At 48.5% G+C, this 22,249-nt stretch overlaps 1 protein-coding gene and 2 long non-coding RNA genes across 46 annotated transcripts in view, besides 1 other annotated feature; 1 reads left to right on the plus strand and 2 right to left on the minus strand.

Annotated features, from left to right (window-relative positions):
• FHAD1 (forkhead associated phosphopeptide binding domain 1) overlaps positions 1–22,249 on the plus strand; it is a 166,490-nt gene that overhangs the window by 89,833 nt on the left and 54,408 nt on the right. For 38 of the 43 annotated variants that reach the window (XM_047443734.1, XM_017000198.3, XM_017000199.3 and 35 more), the window contains 7 exons: positions 706–789; positions 1,924–2,076; positions 2,993–3,188; positions 13,128–13,198; positions 15,383–15,535; positions 18,730–18,837; positions 19,063–19,170. In XM_047443734.1, coding sequence (XP_047299690.1) covers positions 706–789; positions 1,924–2,076; positions 2,993–3,188; positions 13,128–13,198; positions 15,383–15,535; positions 18,730–18,837; positions 19,063–19,170 — 873 coding nt within the window. Of the gene's footprint in view, positions 1–705; positions 790–1,923; positions 2,077–2,992; positions 3,189–13,127; positions 13,199–15,382; positions 15,541–18,729; positions 18,838–19,062; positions 19,171–19,466; positions 21,772–22,249 lie in introns of those variants that run through there. The other 5 variants (XM_024452918.2, NM_052929.2, XM_011540598.4 and 2 more) reach the window with 3 other exon arrangements.
• Positions 327–17,530, minus strand: FHAD1-AS1 (FHAD1 antisense RNA 1). 2 transcript variants are annotated; one of them, NR_148919.1, is made up of 2 exons: positions 17,423–17,530; positions 327–3,327 (listed from the first exon to the last, which is right to left on the minus strand). It is a non-coding gene; the product is annotated as an FHAD1 antisense RNA 1 (long non-coding RNA). The 2 variants fall into 2 exon arrangements; NR_148918.1 differs by having other exon boundaries at positions 327–3,330.
• LOC124903851 (uncharacterized) lies at positions 8,171–14,573 on the minus strand. The gene is made up of 3 exons (XR_007065480.1): positions 14,027–14,573; positions 12,443–12,610; positions 8,171–12,100 (listed from the first exon to the last, which is right to left on the minus strand). It is a non-coding gene; the product is annotated as an uncharacterized LOC124903851 (long non-coding RNA).
• Positions 19,440–19,639: an enhancer, noted in NCBI's record as "active region_234". NCBI's record gives its function as "activates an Ori minimal core promoter by ATAC-STARR-seq in GM12878 lymphoblastoid cells {active_cell/tissue: GM12878}" and the evidence as "EXISTENCE:reporter gene assay evidence [ECO:0000049][PMID:35858748]".

The following is a 22,249-nucleotide window of genomic DNA, read 5'->3' on the forward strand; positions in this document are numbered from 1 at the left end:
TTGTCATTCTGTAAGTCCGGACTTAATGTAACTGCTATTTCATCAGCCTTAACCTGAAAACACTAGCACCCAGGAGGGGCTCAGTGAAAGCCACTAGAAGTAGAGGCCCTTGGCTTAAGGTGATGTTTCTGTGTACAGGCATCCAGCAAAGGTTAGTTGGGTGTCTGAGTGTCTCCTCTACACCAGGCACCGTAGTAGGCTCCAGGGATACCGAGATGAACAGAGTGGACATAGTCTTCAGGACTCTTATGGGCTCAGGCATGAAATGGAGAAAGGGAGAACACTCTCCTCTCCCCGGGCTTCCTTGCTGACTACACAATTTACTTGGACTGACAGCCTCAATATTTATTTCACAGTCTGGTGCCAACTTAGCAATTACGGAAGAGCGCTCCCGGCCCCAGACTTCCCATTGGATAATTGGCAGCAAGAGGCTCTTCTGAGGGTTTGAGACATGTGTGTGCACTGACCACAGGCATCGTTCGGGTTAGGCAGGCGTGCCTAAAAAGTAATTAAAGCCTGCTGTTCTCTTTTCTTCTGTGGGTCCCGCCACTCCCCGTGAGCGGTGAAGATTCTGATAACGCGGAATGGTCATTCAGGCGTGCAAACCCTGCTAAGTGGTGTTTCCCGCACCCTGCCATGGAAACGCTGCCCCCACTTGCCGGCCCCTGCTGACCCCCTGACACTGTTGCCCCCTCTCTGCTGCAGCTGGAGCACTTCAGAAGTCAAGTCATCAAGGCCACCTATGGACGGGCGAAGCCGTTCCGGGACAAGCCCGTCACCGACCAACAGGTTAGTCTGCCGTCCCTGCCACGTGGCTCCTTCACTTTCCTCTTCTTCTTCTTCGTGGATCTGGATTCCAGACCCTGGGAGCATATGTTTCTGTTTTTGTTGGTGGCATATTTTTCACACTGTTGCTACACCATAAAGATTTGTTTTGATTTTATGGGATTTCCTGGCTTTTAAAGTAAAAGCCAGTTAAAACTCCCTTGAAATGTGTCTGTGAAAATCAAATTAAACCATTCGGGCTTACTTCTGGTCTCCAGACATGCATGTTTCGCCTCCATTAGCACTGGGAGAAAGGGAGCCGCCTCCCCACAGCCAGTGCGTTCTGGCGCGTTCCTTCAGAGGAGAAAAGTTGACAGTGGCAGTGAGGGTGGATGTCTGGCTGTAATGATTGCCTTGCTGTTCTTCCACTACACTTTCTAGCCCCCTGTGTCAAAGCACAGATGGGAAAATGTGCCGTGGGCTGCTCTCAGTGGGTGTGGGAGAACCTGACCTGCTGCTTATGAGCCCATAATATCAGGCTCAGTGTTCTGAATCCCTATACAACACAGAAGAATCTGGAACAAACTCAGGGCCACAAGACAGGCCTTTGGATCATAAAAATAATCTCTGATCGGCAAGGAGTGGTGGCTCATGCCTGTAATGCCAGCACTTTGAGAGGCCGAGGCGGGTGGATCACCTCAGGTCGGGAGTTCGAAACCAGCCTGACCAACATGGTAAAACCCCATCTCTATTAAAAATACAAAATTAGCCGGGCATGGTGGCGCGTGCCTGTAATCTCAGCTACTTCAGAGGCTGAGGCAGGAGAATCGCTTGAACCCAGGAGGCGGAGGTTGCGGTGAGCCGAGATCAAACCATTGCACTCCAGCCTGGGCAACAAGAGTGAAACTCCGTCGCAAAAAAAAAAAAAAGAAAAGAAAAAAGAAAAGAGAATCTCTGATTCTGGGACTCATTCCCTGGTGACAGGACCAACGTCCCCCTTGACAGCCATCACCAAGACATATCAGGACCTCTGTCCTCCCGTGCTTAGACAGGGACTTAAGTTGCATCTCTCCCCTCTCCCATTCCCCTTCCCTCAGGGCCCCCCACCCCTGTATGTTACATCTTTTTTTTTTTTTTCCTTTTTCTTTTTCTCACCAGTTAATAGAGAAAATTACCCAGGTCACTGAGGACAACATCAATTTTCAGCAGAAAAAGTGGACCCTCCAGAAAGAGACCCAGCTGAGCAACTCCAAGCAGGAGGAGACCACCGAGAACATCGAGAAGCTGAGGACGTCGCTGGACAGCTGCCAGGTGGCCCCTCCTTACGCTTTCCACAAATGGTCTCTTTGTCTAATTTTTGTGCGGCTTATTTGGGAAATTGCCCAGCTTTTTTGGAGCAAGTTGGGCAGAAATGCTTGGCTTTTCTATCCACTTTTTCCTCTTGTTGGAGAAACTTGTTGGAGAAGAAAAAACAAAGGGCCTAAAAAAATGCCTCCCGGGAGAACTTGGCGTGTCCAAAAAAGATGCCTGAGCATCTTCAATTACTGACTTTGAGCGGCCCGCATCCCCAGCCAAAAAGAAATTGTTTTCATAGCCCCTATGTTATTTCCAGAGAAACCAAAGAAACATTCCTGCTTTTTATTTGCATTTTCTTGTTTTGGCCCAGCCACAAAAGGCGGTTTCCACACCGTTGCTTTTGACTCTGGAGGAGCAGGGACGGGAGGACTTGGCCACAGCCCTGCGGCCCCCACCCTGGGACATGGCTTATCAGAGCAGGCGGTGGCTTCTGCTTTCTCTGGAAATCAGCAGCTCCTGTTTGGGGAGTTTGTGCAAATGCTGGCTTGTCAGCACTCTTTCAAATCAGGAAACCACGCTTTCCGACCAGCTTGTGTGTTGATCTTGGCAGGAATTCTGACGAATGGAAAAAAGAAGTAGCCACATTTGCTTCTCATTGCAGCCAAACTGTTGATGGTACTTTGGCTCTGGGGTTTCATAGACCTAAAAGGGGGTTCGCTTTGACCATCAAAAGTCCAAATTAGAGTATTAAAAAAAAACCTGTCAAAACATAAAAATTTTAAAAAAGAAAAAAACTGAGTCCTCCCAAGGCGGCCAATACGTGGCGCTGCCTGCTTCGTGGCAGAGTCAAGAACGCTGTTCCTCGAAGGTCACGTCAGGGGCTATTTCTGGCCACAGGGCCTGGGCTCCTCATGATCTCACCTCTTTGCAGGCTTGCATGAAAATATCCTGTTGCAGCCATGACCTGAAGAAGGAGGTCGACCTTCTTCAGCACCTCCAGGTGAGCCCACCTGTCTCGGGGCTCCAGAAGGTGGTGCTGGACGTCCTGAGGCACGCGCTGTCCTGGCTGGAGGAGGTGGAGCAGCTCCTCCGGGACCTCGGGATCCTGCCCTCCAGCCCCAACAAAGGTTACTGGGACTTTTTTTCTCACATGGTTGCATGACTCTAAAATGTCGCGTTGAATCTCAGCATGATGGGACATCTGTTGAGGAAGTCTTCCTGGGTATCTGGCCAAGTCTATTCCCTTCTCCAGAACCCCCTGCTTCTCTGCTTGAGGCGTAATTTTCCATTAAAAAAAAAAACACACACATACAAGTGAGACACGATAACTGAAGAAAAATGAAACAAAACAGAGGCAAAAGGAAAATTAAATCGAAATTATGCAAAGTCTAATTACGCTGTTTAACCTCCAAGGCATTTTCCCATGGAAATAACCGCGTGATTCCAGGCAAGTGACTTACCCTGTCTATGCCTCAGTTTCCCTATCTGTAAAATGAGGCTAATAGGGAGTACCCACCCTTTAGGGCTGTTGTGATCATTAAAATGCATGAATATATGGAAAGTACTTGGAATAGTACCTGGCACACAATAGGCATTACTGAATGTTTATTGACTTTTAATTTGACAAAAAAATAGTGTCACGTTACCCTCGATTTTCTTTGGTTTATTCCTAATGGTACGTCATCCATGTCAGTAGACACAGACCTACATCATCGCTGTTACCGACGGCAGTTACTGATTCCATTGTGTAGGATGTGCCATTGTTTTAGACAATCCCCTATCATGGGCACTTAGGTGATTTCCAGTTTTTCACACTCATAAATCATGCTGGGATGAACATTGTTGCACACATACCTGCTCATATTATCTTTATTCTCCTAGAGGTGGAGAGGTATGAATCACTTTCTTTCAACAAATAGTGATTGCATGCATGCTTACCAGAGGCCACATGTTGTGCAGGGCAGAGACGTAACGGGGTCAGGAACAGGTAGAATCAGGTCATGGGTATATGGTTCACTGTAAAATTCTTCCAATATGTCCATACATTTGAAATTTTTTATAATAAAATACTGGGGAAAAAAACAGGCCCTCCAAGAGCTTATGGTCTCAGGGGGAAGGATGAGGTGGGCATTAATGGGAAAATCACTCGAACAAACATGAAAGTTGAGTGGTGACAATTGCTATGAAGTGCAGGGTTCGATCTGGTCAGGGAGAGCAGGGCATCTGCAGGATGCATCGGAGTTGTTGCCAAAGAAAGGGGAGAGAGCATTCTGAGTACAGGAGCAGCGTGGTGGCAGGGGAGCATGGAGAGCACAAGGGGCTAACAGAAATGGGAGCTTCCCAGGGCCATGCATGTGGGGTCTCGCAGGGCCCTGATAAGAAGCTTTATTCTAAGGGCAGAGAGAAGCCTGTGAAAGGCCTTAAGTAAGGAGCTGGACAGGCTTGCATTCTGAGACAATCATCTTGGTGGCAAGTGGACAACGTCCTGGAGGGTGGGCAGCATGGTGCCCCAGGAGCCACTTGGCGGGCTGCCGTAAGAGATGACAAGGCCACCCTAGGGCAGGGTGGGGATGGAGAAAGAAGATTCAGGGGCGAGTAAGAGGTAAATCAACAGGCCTCAGTGGTAGGACTGGATGGTTGGAAGGAAAGTGACAGAGAGTCAACAAGACCTCTAGGTTTCTGGTGTGTGTAAAAGACGGATGTGATTTCTTTGCTAAAACTCAGAGCAAGGAATGCAGGATGAGGCCCAGGTTTGAGGGGGAAGAGGAGTGTGAGGTGCCTGTGAGACATCTAAGATGAGATGCCCAAGAGACAGCTGTTTCCCCAGGTGTCTTGTCTGGGGATAGGTAATAATGATGTATCCTCAGCACCCAGAGAGCATGTGCCACACAGCGGGGGCCTAATACATATCTGTGGGTTGGAGGGATGGATGGAAGGAAGTGCAGATGGATGGATGGACGGACGGATGGAAGAAAGGATGGATGGAAGCATTGGTGGGTGGGTGGATGGATGGATGGACGGACGGGTGGAAGAAAGAATGGATGGAAGGGTGAGTGGGTGGGTGGGTGGATTGATGGATGGATGGATGGATGGATGGATGGATGGATGGATGGATGAAAGGATGGATGGAAGTGTGGGTGGGTGGGTGGATGGATGGGAGGAAGGGTGGGTGGATAGAAGGGTGGGTGGGTCTGTGGGTGGATGAATGGATGGATAGAAGACAGGAAGGCAGGAAGGAAGGCAGGAGGGAAGGCAGGAGGGAAGGCAGGAAGGAAGGCAGGAGGGAAGGCAGGAAGGAAGGCAGGAGGGAAGGCAGGAAGGCAGGCAAGCAGGCAAGCAGGCAGGAAGGAAGGAAGATTAAAGCCATAGATATGAATGGTATCAGTTAGGAAGATTATTTATTCTTCAGTCTTGAAGAACAGCCAGAGAACTTTGCTCCATGTTTTGCCTGATGTCATGTAAGCTCATGACCTACATGAAAGTAACGAGAGAGAAGGGAAAGAGCACAGGGCCGCACCTTAAGGAACTCCAACATTTTGAAGCTTGTTGCTACTCCTTCTTGCCAAATCACCCTCCAGAGAGCCTGCATCAATTTTATATTCTTTCCACAATGAATAAGAATAGAGAAGTGATTTTCAACCCTGGCACTTCAACATCTGCAGCAGGATGCTTCCAAAGTATCCAGAAGGTGGGGTAACATTCTTAAAAAGCAAAAGCAAAACCAACATTAATTTTTATGTAGGAACCTTCCCCTCATCATATAGCAGAGAGCGTTACTGTTCTTGCAATCAAGGCAGAGTCGTGAGCTTACTTGAAATAAGGTAAAACATGGAGCAGAGTTCTCGTTGTTCTTCAAGACTGGAACTAAAACAAAGACCATGATCTCCATCCTGGCAATAATAGAGCCAAGCTACGTGTGCACTGTCCCCTTCCCACTCCCAAGACCATTTTAGTCATCTAGACTAAGTCTATAAATCTAGTCATATATTATTGTTAAGAAATGTGGGTTGTTGCCAGGTGTAGTGGCTCATGCCTGTGATCCCATCAACATAAGAGGCTGAGGCAGGAGGATCATTTAAGGCTTGAAGTTCAAGACCAACCTGGGCAACATCGTGAAACCCCTCATCTCCAAAAAATTTAAAAAATAATAATAAATTAGCCAGGCATGGTGGCACAGGCCTGTAGTCCCAGCTACTCATGAGGCTGAGCCAGGAGAATCCCTTGAGGCTAAGATTTCAAGGCTGCAGTGAGCTATGATTACTCCACTGCACTGCAGCCTGTGTGATAGTGAGACCTTGTCTAAAAATAAATAAACACGGATTGTAAAGTTAAGCTTTCAGGCCAGTAATTCCAGCAGGGCTAAGAAAGACTGATTTTAGGCAAGCATTCCTCAGACCAGCCATTTTCTTCTCCTGACTTCATGGAGTCGTGAGATTTGAACAACATTAAGCAGGTTTCTGCAGAATCCCTCCCTTGTTAACACGCACCCTGGGTCAACAAGAAGGGGATAAAGAAAACAGTATTTCCAAACTACTGGTCTCCTTTCTTGATGCCCTTGCCCCGCCCCCAACTAACCTCTTGGAATAATGTTCCATGGAACAGTCATTGGGGAAACGGTGGTCTGCTGGCTACATATTCTGTGATTACAACTAGTTGGTTCTAAGAACTCAGGAAAAAAAGAATAGAGAATAACAGAAAGTTCAGTAAGCAGGGCCCATCTTTTGTCCACTCAGCAGAAGAGGAAGTTGATGGTAAAAGGCATTTTCTCTTCTAATACAAGCAATATTACGTCAAGCGCCCAAAAGACTAAAAGAAAAGGGTAAGCTAGCGTATGCCCCATATTCTCTACTCTTGTACCTAATTCCTAGCCCAGAGCTAATCCAGAAGGAGGAGCGGGAAGAGGAAGATGAGGAGGAAGGATGGGGAGGAGGAGGGAAGAGGAGGAAGGAGGAGGGCGATGATGATGGTGATGATGGTGATTATGGTGACGATGATAGTCATTCATCACTGAGGACTTATATTCTAGATACGGTTCTCAGCATTTTATACACATGATCTCATTTCATCCTCACAGTAATTCTATGAGTTAATAATTTGCCCATTTTCCTCATTTTAGAAATGAGGAAACTGGCTCAAAGCTGGTTTTCTCATTACTCCACCAGGATAAGGTGATTTGAGGCACTTCATGTTACAGAGGCTGACAGGGAGTCCCCAGTCTATTCATCGCCATCCTGCACACTCCCAGGAGCTGCCTGCGTTTCTAGCTCCTAAGAGAAGGGTAGAAAGCATGGGTTGTTTAGCTCCTCCTGGGGATTTAGCACTGTGTTCGGTGTTTCACACGCATTGTGTACTTTTATCCTCCCACCTACCCAGTGAGGCAGGTATGATTACCATCTTTATTTTATTTATCTTTTTTTTTTTTTTTTTTTTTTTTTTGAGTAAAAGTCTTGCGTTGTTGCCCAGACTGGAGTGCAGTGGCATGATTTCAGCTCATTGCAATCTCCATCTCCCAGGCTCAAGCGATCCTTCCACCTCAGCCTCCCAAGTAGCTGGGACTACAGGCGTGTGCCACCACGCCACCTAATTTTTGTGTTTTTTGTAGAGACGCGGTTTCGTCATGTTGCCCAAACTGGTCTCAAATTCCTGGGCTCAATCAACCCACTCAACTCCCAAAGTGCTGGTATTACCAGCGTGAGCCACTGCGCCCAGCCTTCATTTGAAAAGTAAAGAAACTGAGACACAGTAACGTTAAAAAGTTGCCCAGAGTCACACAGCTGGTACATTAGGGTTAAGACTCAAACTGAGGTCTTTGTGACCCTAACACCTGTGTCTTCCCTATGACCCCCTGCCCCTTCACCCCCACCCCCTGCACACATACACACTTCCTCTGACAATGCAGCAATGTACCAGGCACATGCCCAGTCCCTAGAGAATGGGTGCTGTCATCGGCTCAGGCAGTGACAGAGCTAAGAGTTGTCTTTCCCTAAGCTAAACCGCATCTGATTCCTACCCTGAGCCATAACCACAGAAAGCCCCATTTGTATCACAGTGATGTTCCAAGCTGGGACTCTGGGTACCACTGCCAAGGCTTGAATTTCAGCTGTGCACCTACTAGCTGTGTGGGCAGTTACGTGACGTGGCTGCGCCTCCATTTACTTGCTCGTGAAATGGCCATCCAGTCTCCTAGCGGCATATGAGGACTGAGTGATGGGATACATGCATGGCAGTGCTGGTCACAGTTAGCTCGTAATCGGTGGGGGCTGCTGTCATCGTCAGCCTCAAATACTGGTTGACTTCATCTGACCTAAACATGGGTAGCCACCAGGCAGGTAGGCATGTGGACCGCATAGCCTGGTTTACTTGCACCCAGGTAACATCCTCTGGAGCCTCTGCCCTGTCTCCATTTAGCAGCAAATGGGGTTTCTTTAGCCCTAAGCCCTCAGTTGGGTTGAAGCCAAGAGCCCTTTCTAGAGGCCTCCTCCTTAGAATCTGACAGTGGGCCTCGGGTCCCGGCTGCCAAGTGGCCAAGCTGCAACTCAGTCCACGCCCCTCCAACCTCAAACTCCCTGCTCTTGACCACCAGGCTACCTGCCTTTTAGAACATCCTCCTAAGAGATAAAACACGCGTCACAAACTAGGATGGAAATCCTGAAACGAATCCCCCAGGGGAATCCAGGCGGGGTAAACGTCAGGGAAATGACTTGTGGTGTTGTTGGGAGATGTCACGTGCAGCCCACAAGGTGAGGCCTGCTGGGGTCCAGTGTGTTCGGAAGGGTGGAGGATTTGCTGTGTGGTTCAGCTGGGAGGATAAGAATGTTTAGGCGGCACCTTGAAAGTCAGCTGAATACTCCTCCTGCCTGGTTTCTCAGGGTTCCTCTGATAAGGGAAGGAAAGGATTTTTTACATTTTTCTCTGCAAGCTCCGTCGTTTGTGTCTATTTCTGCAAGACTTTGTTACAAATAAAAGACTCTTCTTGCATGCATGGCAAATCACTCAACTATCCAAGATACACTGTGTCTTTAACTGAAAAGAAAGCAAGTTGCAATACAATATGCTTGGTGTGCTTTTTTTTTTTTTAAATGTCAGTATCTGAGCAAAAGAACAACCTTGAGAAAAAGACATCAAACTGTTAGGAGTATTATCCCAGCAGGGTGGGATTGCACTGGACCTTGACTTCCATTCAGTTGTTCAACAACTGTTCATTGAGGGCCCCTGTGTGCCAGCCACTGTGCAGAACATGAAGACGCAGTGGCAAACACTTCCCACATTATGAATTTCTGTAACATTTGGGTTTTTATAACCAACATTTATAACTTTTGTAAACAGAAGTATAAGAAAGACTTGTTCCTTCCCCCAAAGAGCAAAATCCCCATTATGATTACAGTTAGTCATCTAATCTAGAAATAGAAATGTGATCAAATACTGGCCTCCCCTTCAGCATCCTCAGCTACCTCTCCCCTTAGTCCTCCTCAGATCCCAACCATGATTTCATCCTTCCCCTTTGATTCCTGGGTCACACGTTGCAGCCGAGCAAAATCCCAGACTCATCCCAACAGAGCCTCCACAAATCCCTGTATTCACCAGGTCCAGTGGGCCAAGCCAATGTCAGCCCGGCCATCTCACCTCCTCCGCCATCTTGGTATCCTTGCAATGCACCTCTCCAACGCACCAACCCAACCCTGTACTCTCAAGCCTCCAAACCCTTTGAAAAGAGATTGACAGATCTAGGTCTGAATTCTGATTCTAACACTTACCAGCTCTGTAGCTTAACCTTGGGGAGCTTCTGTCGTTTCACCTATAAATATGAACATACTTCCTTACCAGGTTGTTTATAATGATTAGAAAAACGTATCAAACTCTTGGCATAGCACTGGCACGCACCAGGTCTGCTATTATTATAATATTGCTGTTCTCACGCTTCTGTGCTGGAAATCCTCCGAATGGTGCATTGCCCCACACAAGAACATGTTCTCCTCACTTCCTTTTTCTCTCTTGGCCCACCTTTTATTCCTTCCCTCCATTATCCCCACTAGGTCTTCCTCCTACATGCAGCACGTACCCTGCCCTGTCTCCCCTTTCCTCTCCTTCCCAGGGACCTTGTGCACAAATTCTTCTTTCTTTGGCGTCAGCGGCCTTTCTTTTCCTCTTAGTTCCTTCCCTTTGCCATCAAAGGGGCACTTCAAGATGGCTGTACCATCCTGAAAAAAATCATTCTTCTCTGGAATCCATCGCTTCTTTCGCTCCTTTTCAATTGCTCTTACTCCTGTCTTCACCTGTGATCTTTAAGAAGCGTGTTGCACCCTCGGTCTTCATTGCCAGCTTCTTGGCCTTTCTGCCAAGTAACTGACACGGGCCCCCTGCAGCACTGACTAGGCCACCACCCTCTCGGGGACTGTGTCTCTGACCTGCCCAACGCTCTTCATTCTCTTTTTTGAAACCCTTTAGGCGCTCTGCTTCCCTCCTGATCTTTTCCATTCATTCCCAGCAGCCCCCTTCACCAACTCCTATCCCTAACGAGGGTGTTTTCTCCTGTGCAGTCAGCCCTTGGTCCACCCCATCTCCTTTCTCATGAAGAAACTCTGCACTTCCGGGCTTCCCCAGCCACTCCTATGTGTTTTCCACACGGACGCCTCTGCAGGAGGGGCTGCCAGGAAAGTGGTGCAGGGAGTCCAGCCAAGGCAGTAGGTGGGGTCCCTGGCCAGGGGCCATGGCCACCAGGAGGAAGGGGGCCTCTTTCTTCATTCACACAAGGACCCTGGATGGGCTGGGCTGGGCCGGCATTACCGATTGGCATGTCCGGCTCTCTGCTGACCCTCCCTCCCCAGAGTCCTGCCAGTGCCTCAAATTCAGCATGTCTGAAACAGCCTGGGGGCTCCTTCTCTCTCCCTGCCACACCCCACCGCAACCCCAACCTGTCTCTCTCCCGTCTGATGACGAGGCCACCATTCTACCCCTTTAAAAGGCTTTCCCTTTCTTCCCTCTCATCCTCACTTCTCCCACCCTCAGTTAGAGGATCAGCACTGAATACCTGGGCGTCTCTCGGGCCCTTAGCGGAGCTCCCTGCCTCTCACTCAGAGGAGGGGAGCTTATCACAGGCAACATCCAGGATCGTCTGGCGACATTTTTGGTTGTCAAAACTGGGGTGGGGTGAGTAGGGGTGCCCCTGGCATCCAGTGGGTAGAGACCAGGAATGCTACTAACCATCCCACAATGCCTAAGACAGCCCCAACAGCAAAGACTTGACAATATCAGCAGTGCAATACCAGCAATACGGCCCGACATAGCAGCAGTGCTCCAGCAAAGAAACCCTGCCAGCTCCAGCCTCTCGAATGCAGCCCAGCTATTTTTCTTTAAAAAAAAAAACAACGCTCTTCATCAGGCCACTTCACTGTTCTGTCAGCCGCTGGAATAGGAGTGACTCAGACCTCGAGTCACACCAATTAGTCTTGGCTCAACCACTGGCCTGCTGTGTGGCGTTGGGCAGGCCTGCGTCTCAGAACGCCACTGCCTCATCTATAAATTGGGGACCCACTGGGCACATTTCAGTCATGTTTAAATCAAGTTTCCTCTCTCAAGCCGACGGTTTCAGGAGTGTCACGGCTTGACCTCACCCTTCCATGCCTCCTCCACTGTCTGCTCCTCCCTCTCCCATCATCTACTCCAGCCCAAGTAAGCTCAGCACTTCCCGGGAGGAGCACTGCCTTTTCCAAATCCCACCCCCACCACCCCCACATCCCGGTGTGAAACTGTGGCTTCCTGTGACTATTGTAACAAATGACCACAAGAGACTGGCTTAAAACAACACATTATTCTCTTAGCATTCAGGATTAATTCAGTTTCACTGGGCTAAAGTTCCTTCCGGAGGCTCTAGAGCAGTATCCGTTTCCTGGCCTTCTTCAGCCTCTAGAGCTTCATTCCTTGCATTCCTTGGCTCATGGCCCCTTCCTCCATCTTCAAAGCCAGCGATGTGGCATCTTCCAGTCTCTGCTTCCATCACATCACCTTCCCCTCTGTCTGTGGTCAAGCCTCCGTCTGTCTCCTTATAAGAAGCCATGTGATGACATTGGGTCCACCCAGATAATCCAGGATAACACCCCATCTCGAAATCCTTAACTTAATCGTATTTGCCAAGCTCTTTTTGCCCTGTACGGTCACACCCACAGGTTCCAGGGATTCGGACCTGGAATCGTAGGGGGTCATCATTCAGCCCCGCGCACCCCTGTTCTGAAGCGCCCTCCCCCGGCTCTCTGAATTCTGCCCACCCAACAGCATCCACACCCAGTAGTTCTTCAACCAAGTGGTCTTACTCGCTCACTCCAGGTGAATGATCTCCCCCTCCTCTGACACCCTCACCCTCCCCTCTCCTTCAGCAGTCACTCACATGCCACCTGGGGTCACTGCATGTTTCCAGCAGGCATTTACACCTTGTCTTTCGGACTGAACTGTAAGCCCCTGGAGGTCTTGGCTTTAGACCATCCCCCACACTCAGCACCATGCTTCACACACAGTAGACAGTAAATAGGTGTTCTGTTGATGGGTTGTTTTCCACCTCCAAAAAGAAAGTTGGATGTGAGCTCAACCAAGGCTTATCAACTACTTTATTTTTATTTTTATTTTTTTGAGACTGAGTCTCGCTCTGTCACCTGAGCGGGAATGCAGTGGCACAATCTGGGCTCACTGCAACCTCTGCCTTCCAGTTTCAAGCGATTCTCATGCCTCAGCCTCCCAAGTAGCTGGAATTACAAACATGCGCCACCACACCCAGCTAGTTTTTGTATTTTTAGTGGAGATGGGGTTTTATCACGCTGGCCAGCCAGGCTAGTCTCGAGCTCCTGACCTCAGGTGATCTGCCCATCTCAGCCTCCCAAAGTGCTGGGGTTACAGGTGTGAACCTCCATGCCCAGCCTAAGCCACCGTGCCCGGCTGCTTATCAACTACTTTAAAACCACAGGTTGGATGGCAGCTCACGTTGTTTTGATGGGATGGCAACGTTGCTTTCATCCACCTGTCTGCAAGCTTTGGAGTTGAATTGATACTTACATTCTTCCTGCTTCTCTTTTTTTAAGGGTTCTCTTTGTATCTGATATATCTTCTGGAACATTATAAAAAACTTATGAGCCAGGCCCAGGAACTTCAGGTAATTCTTTTAATTTCTTTTTTTCCAAAGTTCATTTCGGCCCCTGGTTGGCATTTATATAGCACTGTGCATTTGAAACCTGTTTTTTCTTTATCAGCTAGTCCAGTCCACACCCTCCAATAGGTGAAATGATTTCTTCATTTGCACACAAAGAGGTACAGAAAAGGTTGGCTAAGATCTCCCAGGAGGGTAAGGACAATGACAGGGTGCTGCCCTCTGGCCTCCTGGGCCAACCACACTGTTTGTTTTCCTCTGTCAAAGGCCCAGAAGACTTAATGCCATCAGATTTTTTTTTTTTGAGTCTCGCTCTGTTGCCCAGACTGGAGTACAGTGGTGCAATCTCGGCTCATTGCAACCTCTGCCTCCCGGGTTCAAGTGATTCTCCTGCTTCAGCTTTCTGAGTAGCTGGGATTACAGGCGCCTGCCACCATGTGTTGCTAATTTTTGTATTTTTAGTAGAGACAGGGTTTCATTATGTTGGCCAGGCTGGTCTTGAACTCCTGACCTCAAGTGATCCACCCACCTCAGCTTCCCAAAGTGCTGGGATTACAGGCGTGAGCCACTGCACCAGCCTTAATGCCATCAGATTTTGAAAACTGTGTTTACTAAATCCAGTGGACAAAGTACAGCTATCTATAGCACAGGCAGCAGAATTACTAAAAGAAAAGAAATATTCTAGAGGCAAATGAGCTTTACGGGTTATATCATTCTGATAGCTATTGCCATAATAGTATTATATAATAAACAACCACAAAACTTCAGCGGCATTCAGCAATTGCTATTTACTCCTCACGTGTCTGGGGTCAGTGGCAAGGCGGCTCTGCTGACCTTGGATGGGCCCACCCACTTGTCTGGGTGTTAGCTGGCCTTTGGTTGATCTAGACTGGCCTCAGCTGGAGTGACTCAGCTCCCTGTGTCTCTCATCCCCCAGCAAGCAAGCCTAGGCTGTTCTCATGGAGACTACGAGGTATAAAAGAAAGTGGCCCAATCACATAGTGTTTTTCAACCTTCTGCTTGTGTTATGTCTGCTAAGATCCCATTGGCCAGAACAAGTCACATGGCTGAGTTCAGTGTCTGGAGGCAAAATATGGGCGGGCACTGCAAGTTACATAGCCCTAGACATGGATAGAGTGGGGTAAAGAAGGGACCACCATGCCAATCAGCCACAGAGGCTTGAGTCCAGGGATTGGCAACTTTCTCTGTAAAGGGCCAGATGGTAAATATTTTATGCTTTGCAGACCATATTCATACCTCTTCCACTCTGCTATGGTAAAATGAAAGTAGCCATAGACAATATGTAAGCAATGGACATGATAAGCATGGCACTGTTCCAATAAAACTTTATTTACGGCGGGCACGGTGGCTCATGCCTGTAATCCCAGCGCTTTGGGAGGCTGAGGCGGGTGGATCACCTGAGGTCAGGAGTTCGAGACCAGCCTGGCCAACATGGTAAAACCCCATCTCTACTAAAAATACCAAAATTAGCCAGGTGTGGTGGTGGGCACCTGTAATCTCAGCCACTCAGGAGGCTGAGGCAGGAGAATCACTTGAACCCGGGAGGCAGAGGTTGCGGGGAACCAAGATTGTGCCCCTGCACTGCAGCCTGGGCGACAGAGCAAGACACCATCTCAAAAAAAACAAAACAAAACAAAAACACCACCTTATTTACAAAAGTATGCAGTGGGCCCGATTTGGCCTGTGGGCTGTAGTTTGTCAACCCCTGGTCTAGTCCCTTCTCCTTATTTTTCAGATAAGGACAATTTCAGTGTCACACAGCTAATGGGTGAAGAATCAAGACAAATGTTCAAGCGTCCTGGCTCCTACATGACTGCTTTTTTTCCTCACACCCACCTACCACTTACTGAACACCTACTATGTGCTCAGCACTGTGCTAAAAGCTTTCCATCATTATCTCACTTAATCCTCACAACTCTAAAAGATCAATACTGTTATTAACTTCATTTTCTAAATGAGGAAGCATCTAGAAACAACTAGAGCTGGGATTCTTTCTAGATCCAGAGTCTGAATTCTTAACCACAGCATGCTGTAGTGTTCTGTGATTTTAAGAAACTTTTGGGTAAACCTTTGTACCCAGAAAGGTAAACAATTGGTAAACAAATGGGGAAAGACTCTTTAGTTAGGCCTGTCCCCCATCAGCATCGGTTTACTTTTCTCACATTTCAGATCAAGTTCAACAGTTCTCAGGAAACTCAGCAGTCTTTACTGCAGGAAAAGCTGCGGGAGCATCTGGCAGAGAAGGAGAAGCTGAACGAGGAGAGGCTAGAGCAAGAGGAGAAGCTCAAAGCCAAAATCAGGCAACTGACGGAAGAGAAGGCGGTAAGGTGGTCCCTGCCATTTGCTTTACTACTGGAAACTGATGAAATGGCCTTTTCTATGGGAAATTGAGGGCATGTACTTAGACAGAGAAATCTCAGCTACTCTGTTTGGTGCCATGAAACTAAATTAATTAAACAGGGTGAATAATTGGGGAGGATTTAACATGAAGTTTGAATTCTAAAACTCACAGCAAAATCAACTTGAAAAGGCAGCATGATTGAAATTTCAGGAAACGGTGCCTTGTTTGTGTATGTATTGCAGTCGGCTTTATGAGATCTGAGTCATCGCTGCAGGTCCTGGTTTGTAGCTGACAGACTGTTTCTAAATGTGCGCAAGATCAACTTCAGATGACAAATTTCAGTCTTTTGCTTTCTCTTTATACATATCGGGGGAAACAAATGGTCAAAATTGCTACTGACTTTTCTAGAAATCAAGCCAGTTAGAAGATAGCAGCATCTCTAAAACTCGAACGTGCCCATGAATTGTCTGGGGATCTGGTTAAGATGCAGATTCTGTCTCAGCAGGCCTGAGACGCTACATTTTCAACAAGCTCCCAGATGGTACTGACGCTACCAGTCTGCAGATCCACATTTTCTTAGGGCGAAGGCTTAGAGGAAGGTTTTCCCAAAGTTTCCTGATAAGAACCATCCAGATGCTTTGCTAAAAATGCAGATCTTGGTCTCCACCCTCCAGACCCATTAAATCAGAACATCTGGAGAGGGCCAGGAAACTGTATTATTTAATGAGCTGATTCTCATCACTGTCCTAGAGTTGGCCCTTTTTTTTCTTAAGATGGGGTCTTGCTCTGTTGCCCAGGCTGGAGTGCAATAGTGTGACCATAGCTCACCACAGCCTCGAACTCCCAGGCTGCAGTGGTCCTCCCACCTCAGCCTCCCAAGTAGCTGGGACCACAGGCATATGGCACTACACCCAGCTAATTATTATTTTTTTTTGTAGAGATGGGATCTTGCAATGTTGCCCAGGCTGGTCTTGAACTCCTGGGCTCAAGTGACCCTCCCACCTCAGTCTCTCAAGTAGCTGGGACCACAGGCACACACCACCACACCCAGCTAATATTTTTATTTTTTGTAGAAATGAGGTCTCTCTCTATGTTGCCCAGGCTGGTCTCAGACTCCTGGCATCAAGTGATCCTCCCACCTCAGCCTCCAAAAGTTCTGGGATTACAGGTATGAGCCACCATACCTGAGGGTTGGCCCTTTTTGATATTCAGGGACCCCTCCCATGAATTTCACTGTCTTTATGACTTTTGTCATTTAGGAGATTAAAAATTACTAATGCCTTGCACCTCTCCCCGCCGACTCTCCACATTCTGATCTTAGTGGGGTGAGGGTGTGGCCCCTGCTGTGGGATTTCTAAGCACTCCCGGGTGGTCGCAAAGTGCAGCCACGGTTGCGAGCCACTGTTGTGGGTGGGTGTGGAGCAGCGTGTGCATGCTGCCCCTCCTCACAGCCCCCTCAAGACAGCAGCCCCCCAGATCCACCGGACCCCAACTCTTCCCAGATATCTCCTCTCTTCCCCGGAAGAGTACTGGACCTGCCCCCTTCTCCATCTTTCCCCAGCTCCTTCTCTACCACACACACCTGCCCTCCAGACCTCTCCCTCTTTCATCTCCATCCTCACATGTGTGTCCAGTTACCCCAAAACATCAGTCTCCTCCTCCTTCTTCTCTTTGCCTCTTTCTCTGCTTTTCTGCATTTGCGAAATAAAAGATTAAAAAAGAAGAGCCATCTGACCAAATCATGTGCAATCCGCATAAAGGTAATATTAATGATAGCTATAAATCAAGATGGGCACATTTTGAAGGGCATTTAGATACGGAAAAAGCCAGCACCGTTCCATAGAGAAGAAAATAAAACCAGAAAGTACCTAGAAATCTTCAAAATCTTCGCAGAACTCTCCACCGACTTCCTTTTTTCTTCTCTGATTACCTTCTCCTTTTAACATCGGCATCCCAAATGCCTTATTTTCTCTTTTTAATTTTGGATGGACTTTTTCCCTTGTCAGGGTTTGGTATTTCAGCCCCACCATGTTAAACACTGCGTTGGGCGCCTGCCTAGTCTTCCTAGACAACCCTGGCGACACTGGCCTGGCAGAGTGTTTTAAGAGCTGGCGTCAGCCCCTCTTTTAAACCTGAAAACCTCGGTGCACCCTACCCTCCTTGCAGAGGGAGGAAGCAACATCAGGTCCCTGCCAGACAGACTGTGACACTCGAAGGTCGCCCTTCCTCTGATACTCGGATTGATGGACTTGACCCTGGGGACTCCTTGGAAAGTTACCTCTTGGACTTCAGTGCCAAGTGTCCTGACTAAATGAGCCTTCCTTAGACCTTCTGACTCCCATCACCTGCCCTTTCCGAAAATACATGTGTCCAGGGTCATTAATCTCATGAATCTTGACTTGTTTGAGGACTTTGTTTCAAAGGGAAAAAAAATTCTATGTTCCTTTATCAATCTAACATTCTTTTCTTATTGCCAGTTGTTGACAACAATCCCTTGGTTTGTGCACACACCAATGGGTTAGATCAGGGATTGGCCAAATTGTCCCATAAAGAGCCAGATAGTAAATATTTTCAGTTTTGCAGGTCATATGCTCTCTGCTCTTCTGCAAAAGCAGCCATAGACAATACACAGCAAGCACAGTGTTCCAATAAAACTTTATTTACAAAAACAGACCAGATTTGGTCTGTAAGCCATAGTTTGCTAACCTCTGGTTTAGAACACAGGCTTCAGAATCAAATGGGTCAGAGTTAGAATCCCTCCTCTTGTGATTTACTAGTAAACTGGGTGGATTCTTGAATGTAAGCCTGTTTCCTCCTCTGCAAGGTGGGAAGCATGGTTATCACTGTGCCAAGCATTTCGTGTTCATCGTCGCATCCACCCCTCACATCAACCCAACACAGGAAGACTATTACTGTCTCCGTTGTACAGGCAGGGAAACTGAGGCTCTGGTAGCTTCACTTCCCCAGTGCCTTACAGCTGGAAAGGATCAACCTGGGGCTCTACCCTGGGTCTCCTGACTCCAGAGCACATGCTCTGAGCTCCTAGGCTCTGCTGCCCACAGCCTCCCCAGGGGAGTGCGGTGAGGAGTGAAGAGGTAGCACATGCAGTGCCTGGCAGCGTCCAAATTCCTGCCATGGTAACCATGTCTGTTAAACAATGGTCATTGGTTTCCAGGCTTTGGAGGAGTACATTACTCAAGAGAGAAACAGAGCGAAAGAGACTTTAGAGGAAGAACGGAAGAGAATGCAAGAACTGGAGAGCCTCCTGGCCCAGCAGAAGAAGGTATGTGGCTCAGGGAGACAGAGTCAGCTCGAGCCCCACTGCAGCTAGGAAGGGTGGATCTGGGGCTCTGGTCTGGGCCCGCCGGCTCTGAGCTCCAGGGCTGTGCTGTCCACAGTCCCCTAGGGAGGTGTAGTCTGGAGGGAAGAGGAAACCTGTGCGGTGCCTGGCAGAGTCCAGTTTCCTCCCATGGTAACCATGTCTATTGAACAATGATCGTTGACTCAGGCTTTGGCGAAAAGCATTACCCAGGAGAAGAACAGAGTGAAGGAAGCATTAGAGGAAGAGCAGACAAGAGTCCAAGAGCTGGAGGAACGCTTGGCCCGCCAGAAGGAGGTACGCTCGGGGAGATAGAGTCGGCTGAGCCCCAGTCGGCTTGAGGGCCATGTGGAAGGAAGTTCAGAGCGGCGATGATGGGGGTGAGATCGTGGTGGAGCCTTCCTCGTGGAGTTTGCGTTTGGGTGGGCTCAGCTACTTTGGGAAGCGTGGGAGACTCAAGGAGGGAACCCTGGAGTTGTAGCCTTGACAACCAGTTGGGAAAAAATTGTAAACAGTGTAAAACACAGTCAGAGAGAGAGAGCGCTTGGGAGACAAGTAGGAATGGTGACATGGGCGTCTTCTGTGTTCCAAAGCACAGAAACGGGAGAATGACAGAGTCATGGGACCTCAGGGCTGCGTGGACCCTCCACCAGCATCCTAAAAGCCTCCAGCCTTCAGCACCACCACTAAGGAATGTTCTCCACCCCAGGACAGTCCGTCCCAGCATGGATGCCTCAGGCCGACAGAAAGTTTTCCCTTTAGGTTGAGTTGTGTCAAACTCTTACGCCCCGGAGGAGTATCAGTCCTCCGCCCTCCCCTGCGCTCCCACAAGATACATCTACTTCCTCTTCCACATGATGACTCAGATGTGTGAAAACAGGGGCGCCCGCACCCTGTGTCTGCTCCTCCCCGGGCCCAAGCGCCCTTGTTCCTCAGGTCCCTCACAGGACTAGAGCCTGGCCCTGGCTGCCTCCTGTGGCCTGTGCTGCTCTCCAGAAGTCACAGACTGGTAGCTCAGCGACTAAAAAGGGCCTGTGGAAGTTATATTTGGCCCCGGAATATTTTACTTTGAATTCATAAAATCTATTTAAAAGTTCAGATTTCCAGCCTCTCCCGAAAAGTCAGAAAATCTAGCCCTTGTTTCTACTTAGCAAAAATGGACTAGAAGCCTTACCGGGTAGCAGCAGTTTGCCAGAGTCCTCACCACTCCCCGTTGCATTAAACACAGCCCACGTCATTTTTGGTATCTGTCCGGGCTTCATAGGCATTGAGTTTGTCACCCATCACCCATTTTCTTCCTAAAGGGAGGTGGCCAGAACCACTGTTCTCCAGCCACGGTAGCCTAGGGGAGGACTCCTCCCTCCCGCATTGAAGATATTCTACTTCTGTTAATGCATCCAAACTAGCTTTTGGGAAAGCTCTGTCACATTTGTGGATTCATGTTTAGCTTGTGGTCACCCTCAGATCCCTGATCCTTTTTCACATCTGCTTTCATGAATTCCTCAATCCTGACACAGCACAGAGGAGTGCGGGCTTTGCAGCCAGATGAGACACAAGTTCAAATCCGAGCTGGGCTACTTCCTGGCTGCAGCAGACCTACCGCTGCCTCCCTTCTCGAAGGGGCGGCTGTGGGCTCAGATCTAGTGTATAATGGAGGGCCTGGCCTGCGGAATGATTGCCGAGTAAACGGCAGCTGTTACTACTGTCTCTGCTGCCACTTGTGCCTCTTCTTCTGTTTGGGCATTTGTTTTTCTTCAACACTGACTCCTTGAGTAAAATCCTTGCCCACCCACTGCTGCAGGAGAAACAAAAAGACCTCTGGGCAAAGCCTGTGCCATTTGATCTGACCCAGGACAGAGAGACGTTTACATGTCGGTTCTCCCTTGGCGTCTCTGGCACAGGTGTGCCCTGCAGCCCTCTCACAGAGCGTCACTGAGGTTTGCCCCCAAGTGATTTCTCCAGGGGTGGGGATGAGGAGGAGGGTCTCCAAAGAGTTACTTGAGTCAAATGCCCCAAGATGTCAACAGCAAAAGCCTGGGGAAGATTCTTGAATTTAGAGACTTTGAGGCCACGGGGCTCAGGAGATAAATTCAAGCTTCATTGCAGAGGATCTGTGGTTGGGTCACCCCGCGTCTGTTAAAATGTCAGCCTACTTCTGACAGAACTTCTCTGTGGCTTCCTATCGGGGGAATTTGAAAGAGCAGCCCCAGCCACAGGCTCCATTCAACTGCCAGTGGCTATTTGATTTTCTTTTTTTCTGTCTCCCAGGCTGGAGTGCAGCGGCATGATCTTGGTTCACTGCAACCTCTGCCTCCCGGGTTCAAACGATTCTCATGCCTCAGCCTCCCAAGTAGCTGGGACTACAGGTGCACCACCATGCCTGGCTAATTTTTTGTATTTCTAGTACAGACGGGGTTTCACCACGTTGGCCAGGCTGCTCTTGAACTCCTGGCCTCAAGTGATCTGCCTGCCTTGGCCTCCCAAAGTGCTGGGATTACAGGCGTGAGCCACCGCTCCCGGCCTGATTTTCTTTTCATTAGATCTTCCGCCACATCATCAGGGTTTTTAAGGTCAACAGAATCACTAGGTCATAATCTGGGTCTTGAGGTCATGTTCAAAGTTAATCCCCATTATCTGTTGTGAACTTGGAAGCACAGCAACTGAGCATGTAGGGCCTGTGTGTGAGCCAGGCAAGGCCTCTCTTACCAATAGTACCTGTCCCGACTGCAGAGAAGCCACCCAGAGGAAGGCCTGGCGAGTGTAGACGCAGAGTCAGACACAGCAGAGCCAACCCTAAGTCCCTAGGAAGTGCCTCAAAGTCTCTTTTACAATTCACAGGAAAATGTCCTACCCTGAAACCCACTTCAAAGGATCCAAATAAACGTGAAATTCTTATGATGTCACTTTTCTTCTGCTTTAAGGCTGGTGTTGGGACAGCAGAGTGTTAGAGTTTTGTCAACTACTTTTCACTGCAAAGTATACAATATCTCAGCCATATTCTGGATTAAACACTTTTTACAGGCTCATCTGGGGCCCTAACCAGTGGTTATAATGGAAACCATGTTCCAAGTTCTAAATGCCTGACAGTGAACCTCGTGTTTGAAAGACAAGCCGTTAGAAAATAGAGGTGGCCCTTCTCATGGTGACTGGAAACAGGCTGGCAGTGTATTTCCTTTGGTGATTTGCATTAAGCTGTTTAGTTGAATAGCTTACCAGCAAGTAACTTCCCAGACAAAACTCCTTGATTAGGGCCACTAAATACTGGCCACACTTTCTTCCCTACATCCTACCAGAACATTGCTTGTCCCTTCTAGAAATTGGTGTATCGTGGCTCATTAGTCCAACATACTGCCCTTCTCTTGAAACTGGATTCTGT

The sequence above is a fragment of the Homo sapiens genome, chromosome 1 (assembly GCF_000001405.40).
Source record: "Homo sapiens chromosome 1, GRCh38.p14 Primary Assembly".
Taxonomy (NCBI): Eukaryota; Metazoa; Chordata; class Mammalia; order Primates; family Hominidae; genus Homo; species Homo sapiens.